The sequence below is a fragment of the Homo sapiens genome, chromosome 9 (assembly GCF_000001405.40).
Source record: "Homo sapiens chromosome 9, GRCh38.p14 Primary Assembly".
Lineage (NCBI taxonomy): Eukaryota > Metazoa > Chordata > Mammalia > Primates > Hominidae > Homo > Homo sapiens.
Window position 1 is genome coordinate 87,379,805 of NC_000009.12, and position 24,266 is coordinate 87,404,070.

General features: G+C 42.0%; 1 long non-coding RNA gene across 2 annotated transcripts, besides 3 other annotated features; it reads right to left on the reverse strand.

The window, feature by feature from the left end:
- Nucleotides 1–5,041: 5,041 nt before the first annotated feature.
- LOC105376127 (uncharacterized) lies at nucleotides 5,042–6,995 on the reverse strand. Of its 2 annotated transcripts, none has more exons than XR_930077.3 (2): nucleotides 6,761–6,995; nucleotides 5,042–5,272 (listed from the first exon to the last, which is right to left on the reverse strand). It is a non-coding gene; the product is annotated as an uncharacterized LOC105376127 (long non-coding RNA). The 2 variants fall into 2 exon arrangements; XR_930076.2 differs by lacking the exon at nucleotides 6,761–6,995 and adding an exon at nucleotides 5,508–5,732.
- Nucleotides 7,180–8,063: a silencer, noted in NCBI's record as "fragment chr9:90001899-90002782 (GRCh37/hg19 assembly coordinates)". NCBI's record gives its function as "represses an EF-1alpha promoter that drives an FKBP-Casp9 reporter gene in an ReSE screen in HepG2 liver carcinoma cells {active_cell/tissue: HepG2}" and the evidence as "EXISTENCE:reporter gene assay evidence [ECO:0000049][PMID:32094911]".
- Nucleotides 22,300–22,917: an enhancer, noted in NCBI's record as "H3K27ac-H3K4me1 hESC enhancer chr9:90017019-90017636 (GRCh37/hg19 assembly coordinates)". NCBI's record gives its function as "activates a minimal SCP1, AML or CMV promoter by ChIP-STARR-seq in naive H9 embryonic stem cells {active_cell/tissue: H9 hESC(naive)}" and the evidence as "EXISTENCE:reporter gene assay evidence [ECO:0000049][PMID:30033119]".
- Nucleotides 22,918–23,533: an enhancer, noted in NCBI's record as "H3K27ac-H3K4me1 hESC enhancer chr9:90017637-90018252 (GRCh37/hg19 assembly coordinates)". NCBI's record gives its function as "activates a minimal SCP1, AML or CMV promoter by ChIP-STARR-seq in naive H9 embryonic stem cells {active_cell/tissue: H9 hESC(naive)}" and the evidence as "EXISTENCE:reporter gene assay evidence [ECO:0000049][PMID:30033119]".

A 24,266-nucleotide genomic window follows, 5' to 3' on the forward strand; every position in this document is an offset into this window, starting at 1 on the left:
CCAGGCATGTTGGCGCACATCTGTATTCCCAGCTACTTGGGAAGCTGAGACAGGAGAATCGCTTGAACCCAGGAGGCAGAGGCTGCAGCGAGCCAAGATCGTGCCACTGCACTCCAGCCTGGGTGACAGAGTGAGACTCTATCTCAGAAAAAATAATAATAATAGTAACGGATGACATTATGGAATATTAAACCCAGAATTACTTGGTAGTGCCATCAAATGGAATTTGGTCAGTTTGGTAGAGTACACAAATATTAAAGTGGTGATTGGTATCAACCTTCAACATCTGTTAAGCAACAGTTTCTTTAGGGCTCTATTAAGAACATACTACACTCAAAAACAAGGTGGTCAAGAGCAAATCTGTTGCTGCTGAACAGAATCGCTAGGGCCAAAGGAAGAGAGTTTTTCTTTTTTATGCCAAATGCAGTGTGCACAAATGTCAGAATCAGGTATGTAAGATGCATTCTTATTTTCTATAATTCAACCTAATTTCTATTCGGAGCCCTCCCTTTCCTCCGCCAAAATTCAATATTCTCTCTTTCTTTCCAAGAATGTCATCTAAGTTCTAGGAAACCCGTATTGTGCCCAGGGATGAGGCATAGAAGGGAGGTGGCATCTGGTGTTCTCTATGTCTATCCAGGAAGGCACCTGTTCAGATGGCCGGTGCCCCTCCTGGTCCCCCATTCGGGTGTATGGTCTATGCCTTGTGTCTAAGAGAGTCTCCAAGACCCCAAAATACTTAAGCTCTGGCATTCTCCCTCTGGTTCTTCCTTTCACCCCTCTGGGCTGCCTTAGCAGTCCAAGGCACCTTTTCCTCTTGTGGGAGAAGGAAGCCTTGCCGTTATTCATTCTCATTTCTGCCATATCTTCTGTTTGTCCTGTGTCCTTTCTACTCCCCTGCTAGTCAGTTAAAACTCAAATGCCGGCCGGGCGCAGTGGCTCACGCCTGTAATCCCAGCACTTTGGGAAGCCAAGGTGGGTGGATCATCTGACGTCAGGAGTTCAAGACCAGCCTGGCCAACATGGTGAAACCCCGTCTCTACTAAAAATACAAAAAAATTAGCCAGGCGTGGTGGCGGGCGCCTGTAATCCTAGCTACCCACAAGGCTGAGGCAGGAGAATCACTGGAACCCGGAAGGCAGAGGCTGCAGTGAGCCGAGAATCCCGCCACTGCACTCCAGCCTGGGCAGCAGAGCAAATCTCCATCTCAAAAACAAAAACAAAAAGCTCAGATGCCAAGAATATATTTCTTTGTCGTCCTTGAATTTTTATCCTTCGCAGGAGAATCCCCCTGAAAATGAGAAGTTTAGTCACTCCAGGGGTTCTCAAATTTTGCTGCACGTTAAAATCCTCTAGAGTGCTTTTCAAAAATACCCATATTTGGGCCAGGCCTAAACAAATACTGATTTACTCAGTCTGAGGGTGAGGCCCAGATAGGATTCATTTGTAAAAACTTTCCAGGTGATTCCAATTCATAGTCAGTTTGAGAAGTAGTGAGCACTTAATTAAGGGAAAATGCAAAGAAAAGAAAAAAGAAATACTGGGAAAAGAAAACTTTGGTTAATATTTTATAATATTGTGCAATCATAAATGTATCAACATTATGCAATCGTACATAAATACCAGAAGATGGAAAAGTCCTTGAAAATGAATTTGAATGTCAGTGTGAATAAATTAGAAGATAACTGTGGAAACCTTACATACCACAGGCATCTAATAACTTTTTTCTTTTTGAAGGCTCAGGATATCTGAATGCTTAGCAAATCCTGGCATGGTATTTGGAAATCCTTGTTTTCCAACTTACATATTTCAGCTGTCTTACATTTTTTTCTAAAGTCCAGTGGCCTGTTAGGACTAAGCTAGCTCAGATTCTCATGGAAAGAAGACAGTTCTGGCTTGCTTTACACTGCAAGAACAGGCATGCAAGAACAAATAAAATACTGATGTCCACTAAAAAGGAAAATTTACGGATCCAAAATCCAAAGAGCCTCAGGGTGGGCACAACGTGGCCCCTTGTCCCATGCTCTGAGAAAGGTGAGGGCCCTGACCCATGTGCATAAGGCCACACCCAGCTTCCTTCTCTGGAGAGGCCCCTGAGACCTTGATCTCTCAGGAGATGCCAATGTCTTGACCTTTCAGTAGAGGATTCAAGAGCACAGCATTCTTGCTCAGAATGAATCAGTCCAGCAAAGGGTTTATTTCTTGAGCAGTTAAATCTCGTGATCAGACAAGATACCAGTGTTCAGTTAGAGCCAAATGTACAGAAAGTGAGCTCCAAACCCTGGCTCTATCATGCGCCAGCTGTGTAACCTTGAGCATATTAATGACCCTCTCTGTGCCTCATTGGCCACATGTATAAAACAAGGATAATAATGGAACCTTCTCACTAGAGTTTTCATGAGAATTGAACAAGAAAATATTGATAAGAGCCCTCATATGGAAAGCCCTCAGTAAATGCTAGTTAATACGATCTTTTACTTAGTTACATGTATGATTCCCATCTACAACATGCCTAAGAAATGGTATAGATCGCCCTAAAAAGCAATAAGTAATGAGACAGGACTATAAAACCAACAGAGTGAAAAAGACAAAGAGGGGACCACGTAATGTTTCCAAGCTAGCATTACAATTGATCCAGCAGTAAGAGTGGCCCTCTGTAACCCCAGCATTGGGTAGCCCTCCACTTGCTCCTTGGCACATTATATGGAGATCACCGTTGCGGTCCATCTAAGGGCAGGGAGTGCGTGTTGCTCATCTTTGTTCCTCTATAGGCTGCCTCCTCATATGTGCTCAATACATAGATGTGGAACTGAACTGCAGTAGTCACCCCTTATCCACAGAGGATATATTCCAAGACCCCCACTGGATGCCTGAAACCATGGGTAGTACTGGACCCTACATATTTTATGTTTTTTCATATACATACATACCTATGATAAAGTTTAATCTGTAACACTAGGCACAAAGATGAACAACAATAAATAAAAATAAAATAGAACAGCTATTACAGTATACTGTAATAAAAGTTACTTGATAAATTTGAGAGCTTTCACCTTTTCACTTAAAGGAAGGACTTTACAGCTTCTCTTTGACATATCTGAATCATCAGCATCACTATTCTTGTGCTTTCGTTAGGAAAAATCAGGATGACTTGAGCACCAGCACTGTGATACCACGACAGGTGCTCTGATAACCCAGACGGCTAAGTGACTTGTGGGCGAGAAGCACAAGACAACATGGAGATGCTGGACAAACGGATGATGATTCACATCCTGGGCAGGACAGCGTGAGATTTCATCACGCTACTCAGAGCAACATGCAATTTAAAGCTTATGAATTGTGTTATTTCTGGAATAGTCCATTAAATATTTTTGGACCGCTATTGACTGAAAGTAACCCAAAGGGCAGAATGTGAAGGCTTGGATAAGGAGAGACTACTGGAATCATTTTGTTTTCCACTTGTAGTGACTTAGTCCTTGTCTAAACTTGCGGGAAAGAAATGGAGAATGGTTGAAGGGAGGAGAGTAGGGGCTGCTTCACTTTAGACTGTGACAAGTACTGACAAGAGCTTCAAAATCGTACATCTCAAAGCCATTCCATGCCTGTCACCAAGCAGGCTGGTAGGGTGCCATCCACTGCCCCTCCAGGTCCTGCTGCCTTTCAGGCCCCTCCCTGAGTTTTCCATAATTTTTCTGGAGGCGCATAGCCCCGCAGGCATCTCCTGCCCCATCTGTTCTTCCGGAGGACTGCACTAAGGCTCTTTCTTCCTCTGCTCCTCAAGACTCTCAGGAAGCCCAAAGAGTTCTATTCTCAAAAGGTGGAGCAGATCCCCAAGGGGAGCACTGCCAAGAGTTCCATACCAGATGCAGAATAGCTATGGCTTTTATATAATTACCAACTTAATGATCTGTAAAATTCACTATTTAAAGTAAGAAAAAGGGTTTTGAAAGTCTTTGAAGCTTACTCACACAGTAAAATATACATTATGTAAAAAGAATAATGTGACAGTAAGTCCATGGGGGTTAGCAATTATTATTACTCACTTGGGCAGGATTTTTCACTTTGCTTCTCGCCCTTGCAATCTAGAGCTTTCCTCCCCCAGAAACGCAGTGTTTGCACACTGGTAAGTGATACCCCAAAACCCAACCCCGAGTCCAGTGAAAGTCATGGAGACAAACTGTGCCAAGAGCACATGAATCACAATTAGTTTAAGAAACAAAACAAAACACCCACCTACATATTAACTGTCTCACTCTTTCCCTTCTGAGAACATGGAAAGAGTCTGAAGCATCACCTGCTTGGATGTGCAGCTTCATGGCCTGGCCTTGGTCACAGTTGCTAGCACATCCTACCAGGTTCCATGATCAAGGACCACCTGGGGCAACACTTGGTCAAAACTCACTTCTGCACAAGCTCTATATGAGTTATCATTAGTGTGCTTTCTTACAGAGATAGGAAGAATAAAGGAGAATGAGAAGGAATATTAATAGGAAATAGTATAGGGCCTTTGGTAACTTCTTCCTTCTTTCTTTCTTTCCTTCTTTTCTTTCTTTCTTTCTTTCTTTCACTCTTTCCTTCTTTCTTTCTCTTTCTTTTCTTTCTTTCATTCATCCTTTCTTTCTTTCAGACAGGCTCTTGCTCTGTAGCCCAGGCTGGAGTGCAGTGGTGCGATCACGGCTCACTGCAGCCTTGACCTCTTGGACTCAATCGATCCCTCATCTCAGACTCCCAAGTAGCTGGGCCTACCCATGCATGCCACCAAGCCCAGCTAATTTTTATAGAGACAAGGTTTTACCATGTTGCCCAGGCTGGTCTTGAACTCCTGGCCTCAAGCAATCAGCCGACCTCTACCTCCCAAAGTGCTAGGATTACAGGCATGACAAGCCGTGCCCACTGCCTTTGATAATTTCTAACAACGTGCCATTGATTGATGTTTCAGTTTTCTATTGCTGTGTAATAAATCAGCCCAAACTTAGTAGCATAAAACTGCAGCAATTTTCATGAGGAGGAGGAGGAGAGAAAGGAAGAGGAGAAAAACCTCTGATGTTTTCATGGGTTTATTGGGCTCGGCTGGGTAGATCTCACTCAGGATATCTCATGAGGTCGCTGTCAGATGGGGACTAGGCTGGGGTCTTCTGGAAGGCTTCCTCACTCCCAGGTCTGGCAGCTGGCTGGGAACAAAGCTGGGATTGCTGGCCACACAGCTGCACATGGCTCTCCAGGTGTTCCCAGCACCTCCCAGCAGGGCAGGTGGGCTCCAAGAGCAAGTATCCTGGGAAACAAAGCCAGGGGAATGCTGTGTCACCATTTATGACCAGCCTCTGTGGTCATGCATTTCTAACACATTCTACTAATTAGGACCAAAGGAAAGGGAATTAGGTCCTTGATGGGAGAAGTGTCAAAGAACACATAGACGTTGTCTTAAATCCACTGCAATTAGCATTGCCATGCTTTTCCTTCCTTATGGCTTTCAAAACCATGATTAAACAGTAAAAAGAAACACTCACCAAATATAAACATCAAAAATAGGTTTCTCGGCCGGGCGCAGTGGCTCACGCCTGTAATTCCAGCACTTTGGGAGGCCGAGGCGGGCGGATCACGAGGTCAGGCGATCGAGACCATCCTGGCTAACACGGTGAAACCCCGTTTCTGCTAAAAACACAAAAAAATTGGCTGGGAGCGGTGGCGGGCGCCTATAGTCCGAGCTATTCGGGAGGCTGAAGCAAGAGAATGCCGTGAACCCAGGAGGCGGAGCTTGCAGTGAGCGGAGATCGCGTCACTGCACTCCAGCCTGGGCGACACAGTGAGACTCTGCCTCAAAAAAAAAAAAAAAAAAAAAAAAAAAATAGGTTTCTCTGCTTCTTTTTACTCTGGCCATCAGTCCCTTCTTCTCAGCACACTCAGATGAGACAAAGCATCTCTGACACCTGTTTCTCTTCCTGCATTCATGCTCACTCCTAGATACATCTTCTTGTGAGCTCTCTTGGGTTGAGATCACTCACCACGAGGAAACCATAGGCCAGTGTTTATAATGGGAAGACTTGGCAGAGATTGATTTTATTTTTTTCCAAACATCCTTCCCATTCAACCACAATGATGTCCCTCCCTAGTAGCCATTGGCTGGTGTCATCATTGAGATTCCTCACACCCTGTCAATCACCTCCCCCAGCTAGTCTCCCATATACCAGTGGTCTTCTTCCCATCACTGAAAACTCAGTCCAGAGCCTTTCCCTGTCTTTTTGGACTGCCACTTTGTACAGGACTGTCCATCTCACCACTGCCCCTTCAGATTGAATGGCCAAAATATCTTTCTCATATGTTGCCTACCTTCCCAATTCTGACAAGACATCTATAGTTTCTGCATGCATTTTACCCAAATTTCTGGTCATGGATCTCAAAGACTTCTTCATCACACATAGACATAAATGCACCCCGTTCCAAAGTAATTGTGATTCTCCACCAACTTTCTCCTGTTTCCAGTTTCTACTGCATGTTCAAAAACAACTTTTCATTATCCTGTCTCCACACTCATACTCCCATTGATAGAAGCTCTTCCATTTATCTACATTTTTTCACCTGCCAAATCACCTCAGTGTGGTTGAGCAAAAAGATCACAGGACTTAGAAATAAGAGGCCCAAGTTCTGGCATTATAAACCTCATAATAAGTTATTTAATAAAATCATTTGAAAGAGTAAAATATACATTATGACAATGATGAGATTCTCCATCTTTTGAAAGTTGTGCTCAAGTTTCATTTACCTTATGAATCTCCCATCAGTAAGCAAAGGAATGTCCAGCTGTGTTGCTGCCCACAACAGCCTTTCCTGAGAGCTGGTGGCCGTGAACATCACCGAGTCTCTGTTTGCTAAAGGGAATGTCAATAAAGTCCTTGCCAAGAGTAATAGTTCTTTGCAGAACCTGTAGTAATTACAAAGGACTCATGCTGCCTAAAGATACCAGGTGTCTTACACCAACACACACTAGACACTTTCTCAGAGATCACATAGCTGAGGGCTTATCCTAAATTCCATCTGTGCAGCAAAATAAACTTACAACCAATGGTGAGGTCTCAAACTGCACCTGGTGGGGACCTCCTGAAAAGGCCAAGGAGATGTGGAGGGTTAAGCTTAAGGTGCCCAGCACACAGCCAGAGTAGTCTGGACTTGCCTATTTTGAGTCTGGCCAACTAGGGTCTTACAATAAAGTAGCAGCTAAAAGCCAAGAGCAGTGGCACACATCTGTAGTCCTAGCTACTTGGGAGGCTAAGGCAGGAGGATCACTTGAGCTCAAGAGGTCCAGGCTGTAGTGTACTATGATCACACCTGTGAATAGCCACTGCACGTCAGCCTGGGCAACACAGCCAGACCTTGCCTCTGAAAAAAAAAAAAATCAGCTAATACATGTGTGGCTCTCTAAAAGTTACTATATTTCACATGAATTCTCTCAGTTACAATCCAGCAATATGCACAAGAGTATATCATCTGTACTTTGTAAGCTGTGTCTAACCTTTGCATATCTCAAAGTTGTTTCTTTTCTTTTTTTCTTTCTTTTTTTTTTTTTTTTTTTTTTGTGGGGGAGGCAGAGACACAGGGTCTGGCTCTGTCACCCAGACCAGATTGCAGTGGTTTGATCTCGGCTCACTGCAGCCTCAACCTTCTGGGCTCAAGTGATTCTCCCACCTCAGACTCCCAAGTAGCTGAGACTACAGGCGCCAGCACCACTACACTTAGCTAATTTCTGCATTTTTTGTAAAGATGGGGTTTGATCATGCTGCCCAAGGTGGTATGGAAATCCTGGGCTCAAGCGATCCTCCTACCTCAGCCCTCAAAAGTGCTGGGATTACAGGCATGAGCCACTGTGCCCCGCCTATCTCACTCTTAATACCAGCTGTCATCCTAGGGTGCAGGGGTTCTGGTCTCCCCGATAGTGTTGAGCCCCCATGAAGCACTTGATAAACAGATGCTGATACCTCCCCACCCTCTCTCTGGCTGAAGCATGTGGCAAAGTGGTTGTACTGGGTTTTCTGACTCAGTCATGACTTGGCTAAGGAATTCTTACCACCCAGGGGGTATTACCTGGAAGTTCTTACAGAAGATCATACCAAGAATACATTCAAAGAAAATTGCTCATTTTTCTCATGCTATTAACACAAAAACTTTTCTCTCAACTTACAACATTGAATTTAGTGTTTGACTTTGAATTTTTCTGGATACTGCACAAAGAAGATAAAATCTTCTTTTCTCTTTTTCTTTTTTTTTTTTTTTTTTTTTTGAGACAGGATCTTGCTCCATCACCCAGGCTGGAGTGAAGTGGCACAAACATGGCTGACAGTAGCCTCGAACTCCTGGGCTCAAGTGAGCCCTCCACCTTAGCCTCCCAAGTGGCTTGGACTACAGGCACATGCCACCACGCCCAGCTAACCTTTGTTGTTGTTGTTGTTGTTGTTGTTGTTTCTGAGACAGAGTTTTCTTATGTTGTCCAGGCCTGTCTCAAACTCTTCTGGGCTCAAGCAATCCTTCCACAACAGCCTCTCAAAGTAAAGTACTGGGATTACAGATGTGAGCCATCGCACCCAGCCCATTTCTAAGGTATTTTCATAACATAACTGGCAGCACTAAGTAATATTTAATTATCTAGAGAAGTAATCCTAGGTCCTGAGAACAAAAATTTTAATTATTTCAAATGTAAGGATCTGCAACAGCCTACAATGTGGCCACTAAAAATAAATAGGTAGTGCAATCAATGGTGTCCAGGTTTCTAGACAAAAATGGAACAGCAGGCTGGGCACAGTGGCTCATATTTGTAATTCCAGCACCTTGAGAGGCTGAGAAGGGAGGACCATTTGAGACCAGGAGTTCGAGACCACCCTGGGCAATAGAGTGAGACACCCCCCCCCCCATTTAGTTGTGTTTTGTTGTTGTTGTTTTGTTTTTTGTTTTTGTCTTTTTATTGTTGTTTTTTGTTTGTTTTTTGAGATAGAGTCTCACTCTGTTGCCTAGGCTGGAGTGCCATGGCGTGATCTCGGCTCACTGCAACCTCCGCCTCCCAGGGTTCAAGCGATTCTCCTGCCGCAGCCTCCCAAGTAGCGGGGACCACAGGAATGTGCTACCGTGCCCAGCTAATTTTTTTGTATTTTTAGTGGAGATGAGGTTTCACCATGTTGGCCAGGCTGGTCTTGAACTCCTGACCTCAAGTAATCCGCCCACTTTGGCCTCCCAAAGTGCTGGGATTACAAGTGTGAGCCACTGTGCCTGGCCCCCAATCTCTATTTAAAAAGAGAAAAAAGAAAAAAAATGGAAGAGTGGTTTGTCTTCTCTCTGAAACAAATCAAACATTTTTTAAAAAATGAATTTAATAGATGCTTAATGAAACTAGAACCTTGTCATAATTTTGAAACATATTCAAGAAGAACTGCATAGGGCAGCAAAAATGAATTGGTCGAGGCAAGGGAGGGATGTGGGGGGATATGCTGTGTATTCACTAGACTTACCCCTCTGCCTGCTTTGCACAAAGTCATACTACATTTCCCAATCTCCCTTATAGTTAGCTCTGGTATGCTACTGAATTTTGACCCACTGAATACGTTGGGGGATTTCTTACTTCTGGATAAAATGTTTGAAAGAAACTGTGCACCTTCCTCACTCAGCTTTCCCTATAGCCAGAATGCATAGTCTTGGGAAAGAAGGGGAGAGGTACAAACAGCTCCTTTCAATTTTATACCAGATTACTTGATAGGGGAGATTTATTTTTCCACCCAAATCTTGGGACCAAAATGTTTGGAAGTCCTAACACTCAAAGGAAAAAATTATTCTGCCAGGGAAACAAAGTTTGGGTTCTATTACATTACAAGCTGAGACTATCACATGGCCATTCCAGGCTTTTCACACGAGTAACCCAAAAGGCAGTGGGGGAGGTCTCTGTACTGACAAGGAGACAGCGAGACACTGGGATGCTCCAGCTCAATAGATGTGAGGACCACTAAGTCTGGACCCCAGGAGGTTGGCTGGGCTCACTCTTAAGACTTTCTGATCCAATATTTCCGGTCAATGAAAAATTGAGATACAAGCCGAGCATCCCTAATCTGAAAACCAGAAATGCTCCAAATTCCAAAATTTTTGAGTTCTGACATGACACAAGTGGAAAATTCCACACATGACCTCACATGATAGGTCGAAGTCAAAACGCAGGCACACAACACAGTTTATTCAGCATCCCCATGTATTCTGGTGATGCTACTGTGCTGCTTAGTAATCCAGAACACGTTATTTTTTTTTTGCTGTGTTGATGGTATGTTATATTTCTTACTCTTTAATACTTATGTGTGAATAACTGTAAGAAAATGTCTGCTTATTGGTAGCAGTCATTAGTTAGGAATGATGGTAACTGCCAAGGAACCACAGTTTGTCCACATGAGTGGGTAAGACAGTGACACCTTGGCTTTCTGAAGGTTCAATGTAAGCAAACTGTCTCCTGCACAGCATTATTAAGAATATTGTATAAAATTACCTTCAAGCTATGTGTATAAGGTGTATATGAAATATAAATGAATTTCATGTTTAGATTCATGTTCAGATTCATGTTCCATCCCCAAGATACCTCATTATGTATATGCAAATATTCCAAATTTGAAAAAATACAAAATTCAGAACACTTCTGGTCCCAAGCCTTTTGAATAAGGGATACTCAACCTGTAATGCAATAAGAATGAAACAACCAAGGTGTCAGGTCTCATGCAAATGAAAGTTTGAGTCATCCCAACAGGTCTAGGGCTCAATGCAGCTGAAACATGGGCAGAAAATAAAGGGAATGTGGAATGACGCTCTTCAACTCTTAATTGCTGTGGCTTTCCACCATTCTTTCCTGCTCTTGGTGCCCCACATATATTGGCCCATGGCAGAAACTTTTAATGCTCACTAAATGTTCATGTGGACGTCCTCTGCATGGAGTTACCAATACTCTACCCAATCTAACCTTAATATAATGCTACACAGTTAAAATGGATAGCACCTCTTTCAATTTTTTCCTCCATTATTTTTAGAATGAGTTCAATATATTTCATCAATAAGATAAGAAATATCACATCATCGTTTCAATGGTTGCTGAAAAAACAGCAAAACTTCTAAAAGTATTTATGTTTTGTGACTCTATCTACTTCTAGGAATTTATGAAATCTGTGGAAATCTATGGAATTTATGAAAATTGTAAACAAAAAAATGTACACACCAAGGTTTTCTCTGCAATATTATGTGTAACTGTCAAAACTAGAAACAATCTAAGCCTCAATGAATAGACAAATGGTTAAGTAAATTATAAAAATTTCGTAAGAGAATATTATTTAGTCACTAGAAGTATACTTGCGAAGAAATATTAATGAAATAGGGGAGATGGTTATGCTAAAATAAGAAAAACAAAACATTATACAGGTAGGGTCTATGTTAGATAAAACTGTTTCTAAAATCTAACTCTACCTGTTTGTATTTTTTCCTTTTCAATGAGCATGAGCCCATACTACTTTCATAACCAGGTTAAAAAATCTTTTTTATTTATTTATTTATTTTTGAGACAGTGTGGTGTGATCTTGGCTCACTGCAACCTCCACCTCCTAGGTTCAAGTGATTCTCAAGCTTCAGCCTCCTGAGTAGCTGGGATTACAGGTGCACATGACCTAACCCAGCTAATTTTTGTATTAGAGATGGAGTTTCGCTATGTTGGCCAGGCTGGTCTGGAACTCCTGACCTCAAGTGATCCACCCACCTCAGCCTCCTGAAGTGCTGAGATTACAGGCAAGAGCCACTGCACCCAGCCAAAAAATCTTTTTTTAACAAAAGGGTCCTATTCTTATGTGACTTTTCTCTCAGGCTTCCATCCTTGCCTCATAGAGCATCATCAAGTAAGAGAAATGACTTCTGAATTTGCAAAATAATAGTCCTTATCTGTCAATTTGTAAGTTGAGGCTTTCTAAAAGTCTTAAGAGAATGTGAAAATTTGATTTTTGAAAAGTCTAATCCTTCCAATCAAGATCTGGCAATAATATGGTCGTGATCTAGGACTCAGCAGAGAGCAACCGAGCTGAGGCCTGGATTTTTTTCCACAGATTATATTTCCCCTGGCTCCCCTGACTTAAAAAACAGAACACAGACATTCACCAGTTCCTTTCTTTACACCCTGAAAAGCACTAAAGAGACTATTAGTAGCAAACCTCTGCAAAAGAACCTAAAGGGTTTGCAATTTGCTATCTTCATATGTAATTCCAACTATTTTTGAAACAAGTAACAAGAGGAATCATAGTCCTTCATGAGAAAACAATGCAAGGTAATAAGCGAAGCCCTCAGAACCAATTGTATTGTATTACTCTTAAAAGTAACAAAATACCAGACTCTTCCATGCAATAAGATGCTCAGTGGTTAAATCAGAAAGATAAATCATTATCCTGTGTGGAATGATGAAAGCAGCCCGGGGCTGAGGCATGGGGGTGGCAGGGAAGGCAGATAAAAAGACTACTGTATTTCCCTAAACTCTTATCAAGTGATCTATGTTTTCCTGGATCATGTAGCAAACATGCCTTAAAGAATGCATTTACTTCTATGGTGCCCTTTTAGAAGACACCTCAATGGTCTTACTTTCCTTCTCTGCCTTCAGAGTAAATCTGAGGTTGGGTCTTGCTGTGTTTCCAATGTAGAGGCTAAGTGAGTGCTGAGGCCAAGTGATTCACTCAATTATCAGGAACAGGGTTTAGCTAGAGTCCCTTTTCAGTTCCTATTACCGCTTGAGTTCCTAATTTTTAGGTTAATTTCTCCCATCGTGAGGATTTTCTGCACCAAACCAAGGACTTGCCAGTTTATGGATCCCTGTTTCACAGGACTCATCCCTTCCATGCAAAACAAAATGGATCCCGATCATATTAGAACTGCAATGCATTCTGCTTCTCTATGAAAAAATTATCACACTCATGTATTTTTCCTGCAAAGTATAGTTTAGTTTTGTGTTTTGAAGACGTATTAGAACCATGATGAAGTAGCAATCAAAAGAAATCTTAAATGAAGCAGATAATTTTGAAATTGCTTTACTATGTTCAGTGCTGACATCATATGTGACATAAACTAGGTGCTTAATCTATATTTGAGAGTGGATGCACAAAGAGGATCTTGGTTTTCATCTATCGTAAACGTCAATATGATTTTGCCCATTGAGGCAAGAAACTATTACTGGACATCTGAGAGACTGAATACACAAACAGATGATGGTCAGACTACATATAAAAATAGAACTCTTATCCACAATCCCAGCAACCAGTTCAAGAAGCCAACTGATTATTTACAGTAACCAGCCCAAGAAGCCAGCCAGTAGGTACATCTATAAGTAGAATTTGTAGGAATTCAGATCACTATCTCTTGCAACCAGCCCAGGAAGCCACATAATAACCCCTATAACAATTGAATCCAAGTGATCAGGACTTAATTAATAATTGACAGCTTCTTTTATTTTTGTCGCTACTTCCAACTTAGGACCACATGGAGAAAGCCAAATATATATCATCTATTGTAAATCCCATAAGCAATCCCATAGGATGCTCCACTTCTAGTTAGCCGGCCTCCAAGTTCCCATGCCAACAGCCTGCAATCAGGGCACACCTGAAGCCTTCCCTTGTTTCCACTGATGCTTTTCCACTCCTCTACCCACCTTTGAGTCTGGGCCAAAATGCAGGTGATGGTGGCTGATTCCCTTGTTACACCAAGATCTGAACAAAGCAGATCAACAACAAGTCAAATACAACCTCTAAAGGTTCATGAGGAACTTGAGCAACACATCAGCATTACCTGAAGACTTGTCAGAGATGCAAATCTCAGGCCCGACCCCTGACTTACTGAATCAGAAACTCTGAATGTAGGTCCCAGGAATCTGTTTCAACAAGCCCTCCTCCCTACGATGCCAGTGCTAAAGTTTGGGAACCACGGCAATATAATCAGATCTGAATTACCTTATGTTCCAAAGGCATTACCCTTTGGGGCATCAGAAGATTCCTTCCCCTTGAGAACATCCTACCAATCTGTTATTCCCCTGGTTACTGCTACCTAGCGCCAGACAAACCCCATCTGAACAGTAGGGAGGGCACATGGCTTCCTCTGGGATCTATGCCTTTTGCATAACACAACAACCCCCTTTGAAACATACTGCATGCATTTCCTTTCTGTCTTTTTCTTTGCCACCTGGTATTATGATCTGTTAGAAGACAAACACACTGATTTTGGCTGTGCCTAGTTACTAACTGTTCCTAAGAACCAGCCAAATTATTCTTATGACATGGCTTCCTCCCTACTGAACATCGCTTTATATTTTTAGAGATTTTTGAGTGTTGTTCTAGCATGTGGGAATGGATGTCCTCTAAGCTGAAATCTTATTTTATAGAAACTAGAAAAAGCTGAGTGCAGATTCATAATAGCAGTTTCCAATATTTATGGACTTTTCTCCAGCCTCAAATGTATTAGTTACCAGTATCTGGGTTAAGAATTATTGTATAAAAGTCTTTGCCCTGTAATACGGTAGCCTAAAAAGATGAAGAAGATGATTTCACCTTCAAGCTTCATTTTGTAAAAAAGAATACAAAATTGGGTAAAGATGTGAGGGAAATCAGAAGTCATAACGAAATACAAATTTTTAAACACTGGCAAAAAAAATCATGAACATCATAAAATACAGGGGAATATCATGTAAAAATAAATAAAAATTAAAATCCTGACACATCTTAATAAGATTTTCCTTCCTACATTGTTGGCTGCATACTTTTTGACCATCTCTTCATATGATAAAGATTTCATAATATACAACATAAGAGTAAATATCTTTAATCTAGCCTGGTTGATTAAATTTTTAAGTCAGGCTGGGAGCAGTGGCTCACGCCTGTAATCCCAACACTTTGGGAGGCTGAGGCAGCTGGATCATCTGAGATAGGAGTTCAAGACCAGACTGGCCAACATGGTGAAACCCCATCTCTAATAAAAATACAAAAATCAGCTGGGCGTGATGGCATGCCTGTAATCCCAGCTACTCGGGAGGCTGAGGCAGGAGAATCGCTTGAGCCTGGGAGGCGGAGATTGCAGTGAGCCAAGATCGTGCCACTGCACTCCAGCATGGGCAACAGAGCAAGACTCCATATCAAAAAAAAATAATAATAATTAGTCAGTAGTGTAGACGATTCCTTCAGTATCACAACCGCTTTTGATGATGTCATGTAAGTTTCTTGGGATTGTGTTCAGATTTGGCAAAACTTCTATCAAATTTCCCTCACACGTAAGTTTTACCATTTGGAGGAGTTTTCCAGAGACTGGCTTCAGGCTCCATAGCTTTCAGACGATGCCTCTCCCCTGCCTCTCACACAGTTAGGGTACCAGCTATCATATGCATGTTCATCCCTCAGTGAGATGCTTGGGTCTGCCCTTTCATGTCTCTTAAGTCTCTATGCCAGGGGAGTAGGTGGGGGAAGTGTTCCTGGGAGCCATTTCTCCAAGAAGACAGCCAGCCATAACTGAACAGTAGCCAGGCACAAACAGAGTGCAAACCAAGTAAGCATGTTCCACTAAATCCAAATTAGATGTGTCCCCAACTCAGCTTTCCTTTAGATGGTTCCCCAAAATGTCCACAGCCTCTCGAAGTCCAACCATATTAGGGCAGACGTTGAGACAGCTGAGTATAAAGGGATCACCGGAGAACATCCAACCAGCCTGGGCACTGGGAAGAATGTACACTGGGGTGGAGCCTCAGGAAGTTGGTGCCATTTGCAGGAGAGAGGAGCCTGGCCTCTCCTATTCCAGGTGGTACCTGGGAGTCAATCTGTGAGGCAGGAAGTCTACTAGCAGGACTCTCGCTTTGCTGAAAGTCACTGTTTCCCTTTTTTTCCTTTTCACCCAATAAACCCTGCTCTTCTCACCCTTCAAAGGGTCTGTGAGGCTAATCTTTCATGGTTGTGTGACAAGGACCCTGTTTTTAGCTGAACTAAGGAGAAAGTCCTACAACAATGTAACAGAGAATAATTGTGTGTAGAGAGGCTAGGATATCTGGCATTTGTACATTTTACAATGCATGATCGTGTGAACACACTGCTACGACCCCGTGCAAGCAAGGGGCCCTGAAGCCAAGCTTCCTTAGAAAATCCACCTCTGGTCAAGCATGAGATCCATGTTTGAGTCCTGATGTGCCCTGGCAGGTGAAGGCAGGTTCTGTGTCTTTAACTGACAAGGGAGGAAAGGGGGTGACCAGAGGCGACAGAAGGAGATGATGCAGAGAAGGTGATGAGAAAAGCTAGTGGCCTGAAGCTAGTGTATGAAATAGGAGAAAAAGTACATTGAAGAATATGAGCATTTTTACAAAGGCAAATTGCGCTCTCCCGCGCTAGTCTGCGACAAAGAGTGCGTGTGTTAGCCAAGCAAATTTGTCATCAATGATTAACTTCTGGAAGAACAAATTATTTGACCTCTCCAGCTGAACAAACACAGAACTGCAGCGACTAAAAGAGCCAAAGGCAATGCTTCAGCAAAACTGAACACATTTTCATAAAAGTCCTGTCATTTTATGTCACAAGAGCCTTAGGGAAGCTTAGGTAATGGTGCCTCTTTAGCTAAAGAAAGAGATTTCCCTCGGCCTGGGTTGTGGCTGCAGTAAATGAATGATACAGAGAATGGCTTTAGATCTTGAGGTTGATTTTGCTACAGCTTTGAAAATGCCTAGGGCTTCTGAAAAGGAGAGTTTGATTTATGAAAAATATGTTTCTGGGATATTAACAAAGAAAATGAAGGTAGTAAAATGGTTCAAGGAGCCAGTGACATGCAAGGCAGTCATGTGGAAGTTTCAAGTGACTCTGTGCTTCTAGTCCTCAGCCACCAAAAAATTACTCAAAATAGCTTTTAATTTCTTTCCTTTTTTCATTTTTGAGACAGAGTCTTGCTTTATCACCCAGGCTGCAGTGCACTGGCACAATCTCGGCTCACTGCAATCTCTGCCTTCTGGGTTCAAGTGATTCTCCTGCCTCAGCCTCCTGAGTAGCTGGGATTACAGGCGTGCACCACCACACCCAGCTAATTTTTGTACTTTTAGTAGAGACGGGGTTTCACCCTGTTGGCCAGGATGGTCTTGAACTCTTAACCTCAAGTGATCCACCCACCTCGGACTCCCACAGTGCTGGGATTACAGGCATGAGCCACCGCACCAGGCCTCAAAATAGTTTTTTTTGTTTTTTTTTTTTTTTTTTGAGACAGTCTTGCTCTGTCGCCCAGGCGGGAGCACAGTGGTGCCATCTCGGCTCACTGCAAGCTCCGCCTCCCGGGTTCACGCCATTCTCCTGCCTCAGCCTCCCTAGCAGCCGGGACTACAGGCGCCCGCCACCACGCCCGGCTAATTTTTTTGTGTTTTCAGTAGAGACGGGGTTTCACCGTGTTAGCCAGGATGGTCTCGATCTCCTGACCTCGTGATCTGCCCGCCTTAGCCTCCCAAAGTGCTGGGATTACAGGCATGAGCCACGGCTCCCAGCCTCAAAATAGCCTTTAGCTAGAAAAGTTTATTGAGATACAGAATGCAAATGTGCAACCGTATTAATTCTCAGTTTCCTCCTTCTGTGCAGCTTTCTATCAGCAAGTAGATGTGTAAATAAGGAGTAAATATCCCTATCCCCAGGGAATTCTTGTTTCATTCAGATGTAGCTTAGCAAGGACTTCAACAAATAAAATGCAAATGAGAATGGAGAAAATGAATTAGAAACAAAGATCAGAATTCCTTTTTCATTAACTCCTTAAAAACCATTATTCCCCAAAAGAAAACTTCAAGAAATGGTAATACACTAAAATTAAAATGGAGTTCACTGCTTGTTTTCTCTGCCATGACCTTACTAAACTAAAATTAATGATCTGGTCATCCCGGAGGCTATGTCTTTAAGGGCATTTTCCCCTATAAAGTAGGAGGTCAGAATTCTGTTCTGAATCCTATACCCGAATTGTGGCTATTAAAAAACCAAAGTGTTCTCTCTTTAGGCCCTCAGAAGCAAGCACATATTAAACAACATGACAACAGCCCTGACGGATTGTTGTTCTCTTTAGAAGAGGTGTTGAATACATGCTGGTTCTTGTAATTTGTAAAAGAATAGCTTTAAAAAAAATTATAGCCATATGCATACATGGTCAGGGTCACCTACATTAGCTTCATTTTATTTTCATTTGTTTATTATTTGGGTGATAAGGCCTTGCTCTGTCACCCAAACTGGAGTACAGTGGTGAAATCATGTCTCACTGCAGCCTCCACCTCCTGGGTTCCAGTGATCCTCCTGCCTCAGCCTCCCAAAGTGCTGGGACTACAGGCATGAGCCACCATGATAGGCCACCATCTTTAAAAAAATAAATATTTTTAAAGTTTAAAAGAAAAGTGTGCACATCACTGAATACTTGGAAAAGAAAGAAAAACAGAAGCAAAAGAAAATCACCAATATATCTCTCATCCAGATACAACCACTGCCAACCTACAGGTTTATCTTCTTCCAGTATGTTTGCCGATCATGTTTTTTACATATCAATGTAAATACATGGAGTACTCAAAATTTTATATGTTGAATCTGTCTTTTCCTGATTGAAAAAAATCATTCTAGTTTATTGTGGATCATTTGAATAATATAGAAAAGTATACATTTAAGATACCACTATCCACAGACAACTTTTTAAATATGTTAGTATAATTTTCACTTTTTTTTTTTTTTTTTTTTTTTTTTTTTACCTAAATAAGTAAATATGTTTGTGAAGCAGCTACATTGTGTGGGGTAAACACCCAGGGTTCATTTTCTTGATCCAGGAAAATTTAGGACATGGACATACAGGAGAAGTTTAGGAGAGGAGGTTTGATAGGCAGAAGAAAGAGAAAGGAAAACAGCTCTCTCTGTAGTGAGAGAGAGGGGACTTCCAAGAGGAAAGGACCAGATGATGTCAGATGCCCCGGATTTTGTAGTTCCATCAGGTATGACGTTTACATAGCCAGGGGAAGGCTGGTTCCCCACCCTAATCTTATTATGCAAATGAACTCTCCCCTTGGCGGCACCATCTCCTTATGATACGTGTGGCTGACAAAGAGAAGGGAAGATGGAGCCGCCATCTTGAACATGATTGGTACAACTGCCGGCATCTATGTCTGCAGCCCAATTTTACTGGCTGCTCTTACTTAGAAAGGAAAATGATTTGGGGCTGCTTTTCATTAAAAGAAAAACCTTACCAAGAACTCCTCTATCCTCACTATCTGCCTAAGTAATTTCTTCTTAACTCCTGTATCACCTGCATTGTTGCTTAAAAGAATGTTTAGGCCAGGCCTGAGGGCTCATGCTTGTATCCCAACACTTTGGGAAGCCAAAGTGGGAAGACCACTTGAGGCCAGGAGTTCAAGGCCAGCCTGGGCAACATAGAGAGACCCCATTTCTACAAAAGATTAAAAAATTAGCCAGTCGTGGTGGCACATGCCTGTAATCCCAGCTACTCAGGAGGCTGAGGCAGGAGCATCACTTAAGCCCAGGAAGTCAAGGTTGCACTGAGATGTGGTCACAATCACGTCACTGCACTCCAGCCCCAGCAACAGAGCAAGACCCCATCTCATTAAAAAAAAAATTATTTTAACAAGGAAATATAAGTAATAATATGTGAAGTGGACACTTTCCTTCCCCATTAATGTCTGCTACTCCTGCCCCATCTTGGTGGACATTTATGGTGGTTCTAATTTTTTTTTTTACTTTATTTAACAATGCTACAGTGAACGTCTTTGCATATACATTCATGTACATATGCCGGTATTTCTTTAGACGAACCGCTAGATGTATAAGTCCTAGATCAAAGTAATTTAATTGTAATAATTTGCCCTTCAAAAACTTGCAGTTTAAATTCTGATCAATAGTAGGAATACTTGCTCCTCTATGTTCTTGCCCACAAATTATCAACTATAATTTGTACTCCTCTAATTACTAGCAAAGTTAAGCATTTTTGCATCTGTTTATTGGTCATTTTTAAAATTTATTTTATTTATTCTATTTATTTTGAGATGGAGTCTCACTCTGTCACCCAGGCTTCAGTTCAATGGCATGATCTCAGCTCAGGGCAACCTGGGCCTGCTGGGTTCAAACAATTCTCCTGCCTCAGCCTCCCGAGTCGTTGGGATTACAGATGCCTGCCACCACACCCAGCTAATTTTTTTGTATTTTTAGTAGAGGCCGGGTTTCACCATGTTGACCAGGCTGGTTTCGAACTCCTGATCTCAAGTGAATCGCCTGCCTTGGCCTCCCAAAGTGCTGGGATTACAGGCATGAGCCACCATGCCTGGCCAGCCATTTGTTTTAATTCTTTCATATATTTCTTGCTCATATCTATTTTTTTGTATTTTCTATTGTTTTTAAGGAACTTTTTATATTTCCTGGATACTAATAATTTTCTCCTCAACTGCCAGTTTTGTTTTAACTTTTTACAGTGTCATTCGTCATCAAAACTTTTAAAATTCTGTATGTAGTCAAACCTACATACTAACTCTGTGTGTAGTTCTCTAATTCTCTTTTCCTTTGAGGCTTCTGGATTTTGTATCTTTCTTCAGATGCCTTCCCATCCCAAAGATTATTTTAAAAATAAAAATATTTTCTTCTCATACTTTCATGGTTCCGCTCTTGAGGCCTGGCTCTTTATTTCTGTTTCTAGTATGAGGTAAGAGCCTAATTTTCTCGCTTTCCAAACAGCTTCGTGTCTCAACATTTTTTTATCAACTTGTTTAAATTTGTATTTTGAGTCTAACACCATACTTTGAATTACCCCAGCTATATTCCATTGTAGGCTGGTGGGGCAGTTGGGGGAGCCCTTACCCCCTACTGTTTTCTTGTTGTTCCAGTATTCATAACTATTCTGTGTTATCCCTTTCAAAGGAAATGTATAATTATTTTGCCTATAAATTCTCTTGATATTTGGTTGGGAATGTTGTGAATTTATAGATTAATTTGGCAGATAGTAAAATCCTTATAATACTTAGCCCATTAAGAGCACACTCTATTGCTCCAATATTTATTTACTATTTTGTGTTTTTCGGGAAAAAACTAAAACATTTTTTCATGTTGACCTTGCACAGTTTGGGGAGTTGTTTCTGGATTTTTAACTGGGCATAGGTTTGGAATAAGACAATTTTCATTTTCCGAGAAAGTCATTTTCTCAAATATGTTGATTGTACAAACTATTCTCTTACAGATTTTTGTTTCCTGCAGTGGTATAAATGTCTCCTTTCTAATATTGACTTTTTTGGTAATTGGATTTGCTATAACTTTATCTCTTTTATTTGTCTTTTTAAAATATCAAGTTTTTTTGTTTACTATTCCATTAATTCTACTTATCTTTTGTGTTTTCTTCCTTTTTTAGATTTGTTTTGTTGTTATTTCCTTTTTGGCTTCTTTCTTATTTTGTAATAGATAAATTTTCCTTCAAGAACTCCTTTGGGCCAGATGCGGTGGCTCACGCCTGTAATCCCAGCACTTTGGGAGGCCGAGGAAGGGGGGATCACCTGAGATCAGGAGTTCAAGACCAGACTGACCAACGTGGAGAAACCTCGTCTCTACTAAAAATACAAAATTAGCCAGGCGTGGTGGCGCATGCCTGTAATCTCAGCTACTCAGAGGCTGAGGCAGGAGAATCGCTTGAACCCAGGAGGCAGAGGTTGTGGTGAGCCGAGATCACGCCATTGCACTCCAGCCTGGGCAACAAGAGTGAAACAAGGTCTCAAAAAAAAAAAGAACTCATTTGGCCACATCGCACATGGCTTACACCCTAGAGACCCCAATGCTTGATGCCTCCATGCCTTTATCTCTCCTTTCCCCAACAAGGCGCTCCTTACATCCGCTCCCATTCTTCAGCACCCAGACGTCCTGCCCCACCTGGATTGTGCAGTTAGTTCACTACCAAGAAAACGCTGATATTCTGAAGATTGATCACATTGGGCTATCCTGAGTACCCAGAAGTCATTTTCCTTAGGCCACAAGGAAGGACTTTGCAAACTCTCTGTGTTTCCTGCAGGGTTGCCTCATGCTGTTAGTGTCTTGTGATAGGAATTATTGAGATTCCTTCTGACTCCATCCTGAGAAAAGCTGGATCATTGTATATTTTTTTAAACGGGTCATCCGTAAGAAACAAGCCCTCCTCTCACTAATATTGACCATCTCTTCTACGTATTGTTAGTGCATCATTATGCCGTGAGGAGACACACATCCATGCTTTTAAGGCAATCAAAAATTAGATGAATTTCCTAATTTGCTTTAGAGAGAATTTTCTGAATCCTGGTTGAGTTTCCCCTCTCCTTAACAGTATTATTTACCAGGCCAGGAGCAGCAAATCATGCCTGTAATCCCAGTAGTATAATAACCAGGGAGGTCAAGGCAGGAGGATCACTGGAGCCCGGGAGTTCAAGACCAACCTAGGCAACATAGTTAGACCTTGTCTCTATAAAAAAATTTAAAAATTAGCTGGATGTGGTGGCACATGCTTGTAGTCCCAGCCAGCTACTTGGGAGGCTGAGGTGGGAGGATCACTTGGGGTCCTGGAAACTGAGGCTGCAGTGAACCATGATGTGCCACTGCACTCCAGCCTGGGTGATGAAGCAAGACCTTGTCAAAAAAGAAAGAGAGAGAGAGAGGAAGGAAGGAGGGAGGGAAGGAAGGAAGGAAGGAAGGAAGGAAGGAAGGAAGGAAGGAAGGAGAAAGAAAGAAAGAAAGGAAGGAAGGAGGGAGGGAGGGAAGGAAGGAAGGAAGGAAGGAAGGAAGGAAGGAAGGAAGGAAGGAATGAGAGAGAGAGAGGGAGAGAGAGAGTATTCATTTACGCCTTTCTCCTCAATACAGTGAAACACAGTTCTATCCCGAACTAAAATCTCATGATCCATGTTAAGGCTGAAAATCTGATGACATATATATATTAAGGTCTACATGAGGAGGAATTTTCCCGGCCTTGGGGAAGTAGAAGCTGGACCTACAATGCATCCCAGATTGGAGTCTTACTAGCCTCCCTCTGCCCTGGATCATTATTTGTCCTCCATCAGCACCTTGAGGATACCCTGGGGCTGGATGGATTCTTTCTTTTTACCCTAGTTTTTCAATGTGTAAAATGTAACTGTGATGCTCATTAATTGATCATTCTTTTTTCTTTCTTTCTTTCTTTTTTTTTGAGATGGAGTCTCACTCTGTTGCCTAGGCTGGAATACAGTGGCGGGATATTGGCTCACAGCAACCTCTGCCTCCCAGGTTCAAGTGATCCTTCTGCCTCAGCCTCCCAAGTAGCTGGGACTACAGGTGTGTGCCACCACATCCGGCTAATTTTTGTATTTTCAATAGAGATGGGGTTTCATCATGTTGGGCAGGCTGGTCTCAAATTCCTGACCTCAAGTGATTCACCTGCCTCAGCCTCCCAAAGTGCTAGGATTACAGGCGTGAGTCTCCACACTCAGCCAGATCATCCTTTTTAAAGAGTAAAAACATGATTCTCATATAAAATGAATTCACCAATTTTATTCAGCTCATTAACTAATGAGGAAACCAGTGAGATGTTGCAAGCAGTCCAAAGGAGAAACCAAAGAGCAGACACAAGTGTAAGTCCCAAGAAACGATCAAATGAAATTGTTTACTAGATGCAAAATTTGTTTTTCCATGAGGGTGTGAGAGAGTCAATTGCCTCTCCACAAGACAAAATGTATTTGCATGCCTATGGACAAGAATCATTTGCATTGCTATCAGTTGTCTACAATTACAGAGTTGTAAAATAGCTCAAAAACAATGAAGGTATAGAGATAATCTGGAAAAGTATGCTGGACAAGACATCCAGTAATCTGCTTTGCCTATTTCAAAGGCATTTTCAGTTTTCCCACATACATATTTAACAGCTTCAGTTCCAGCTTTACTTTGAAACTGGCACGGGTCCCCTTCCCATGTTCTGATAGTTTGTGACTACTCAGAATTCTCAAACAAGACATATTCTGGACTCCTGACAGCTCAGGTATCAGGGCCCTCTGCTGTATCAAGTTTCCATGGACACCAACTGAGGAGCCACAGGAGTTTTTCCTCCGATTAGATTTAAACTGCATCAGTCTTTCTTCTTCTACCTTTTAAACACAAACAGAAGTCACTGGGTATCCAGAAATCCTCCAAATATCAAGAAATAAGACTGTTTCACTATTTGTAATGGCTGTGTATAGATCAGGGCACACATTTCTGCCTCCACTACGTTTTTGATTCCATTTCATC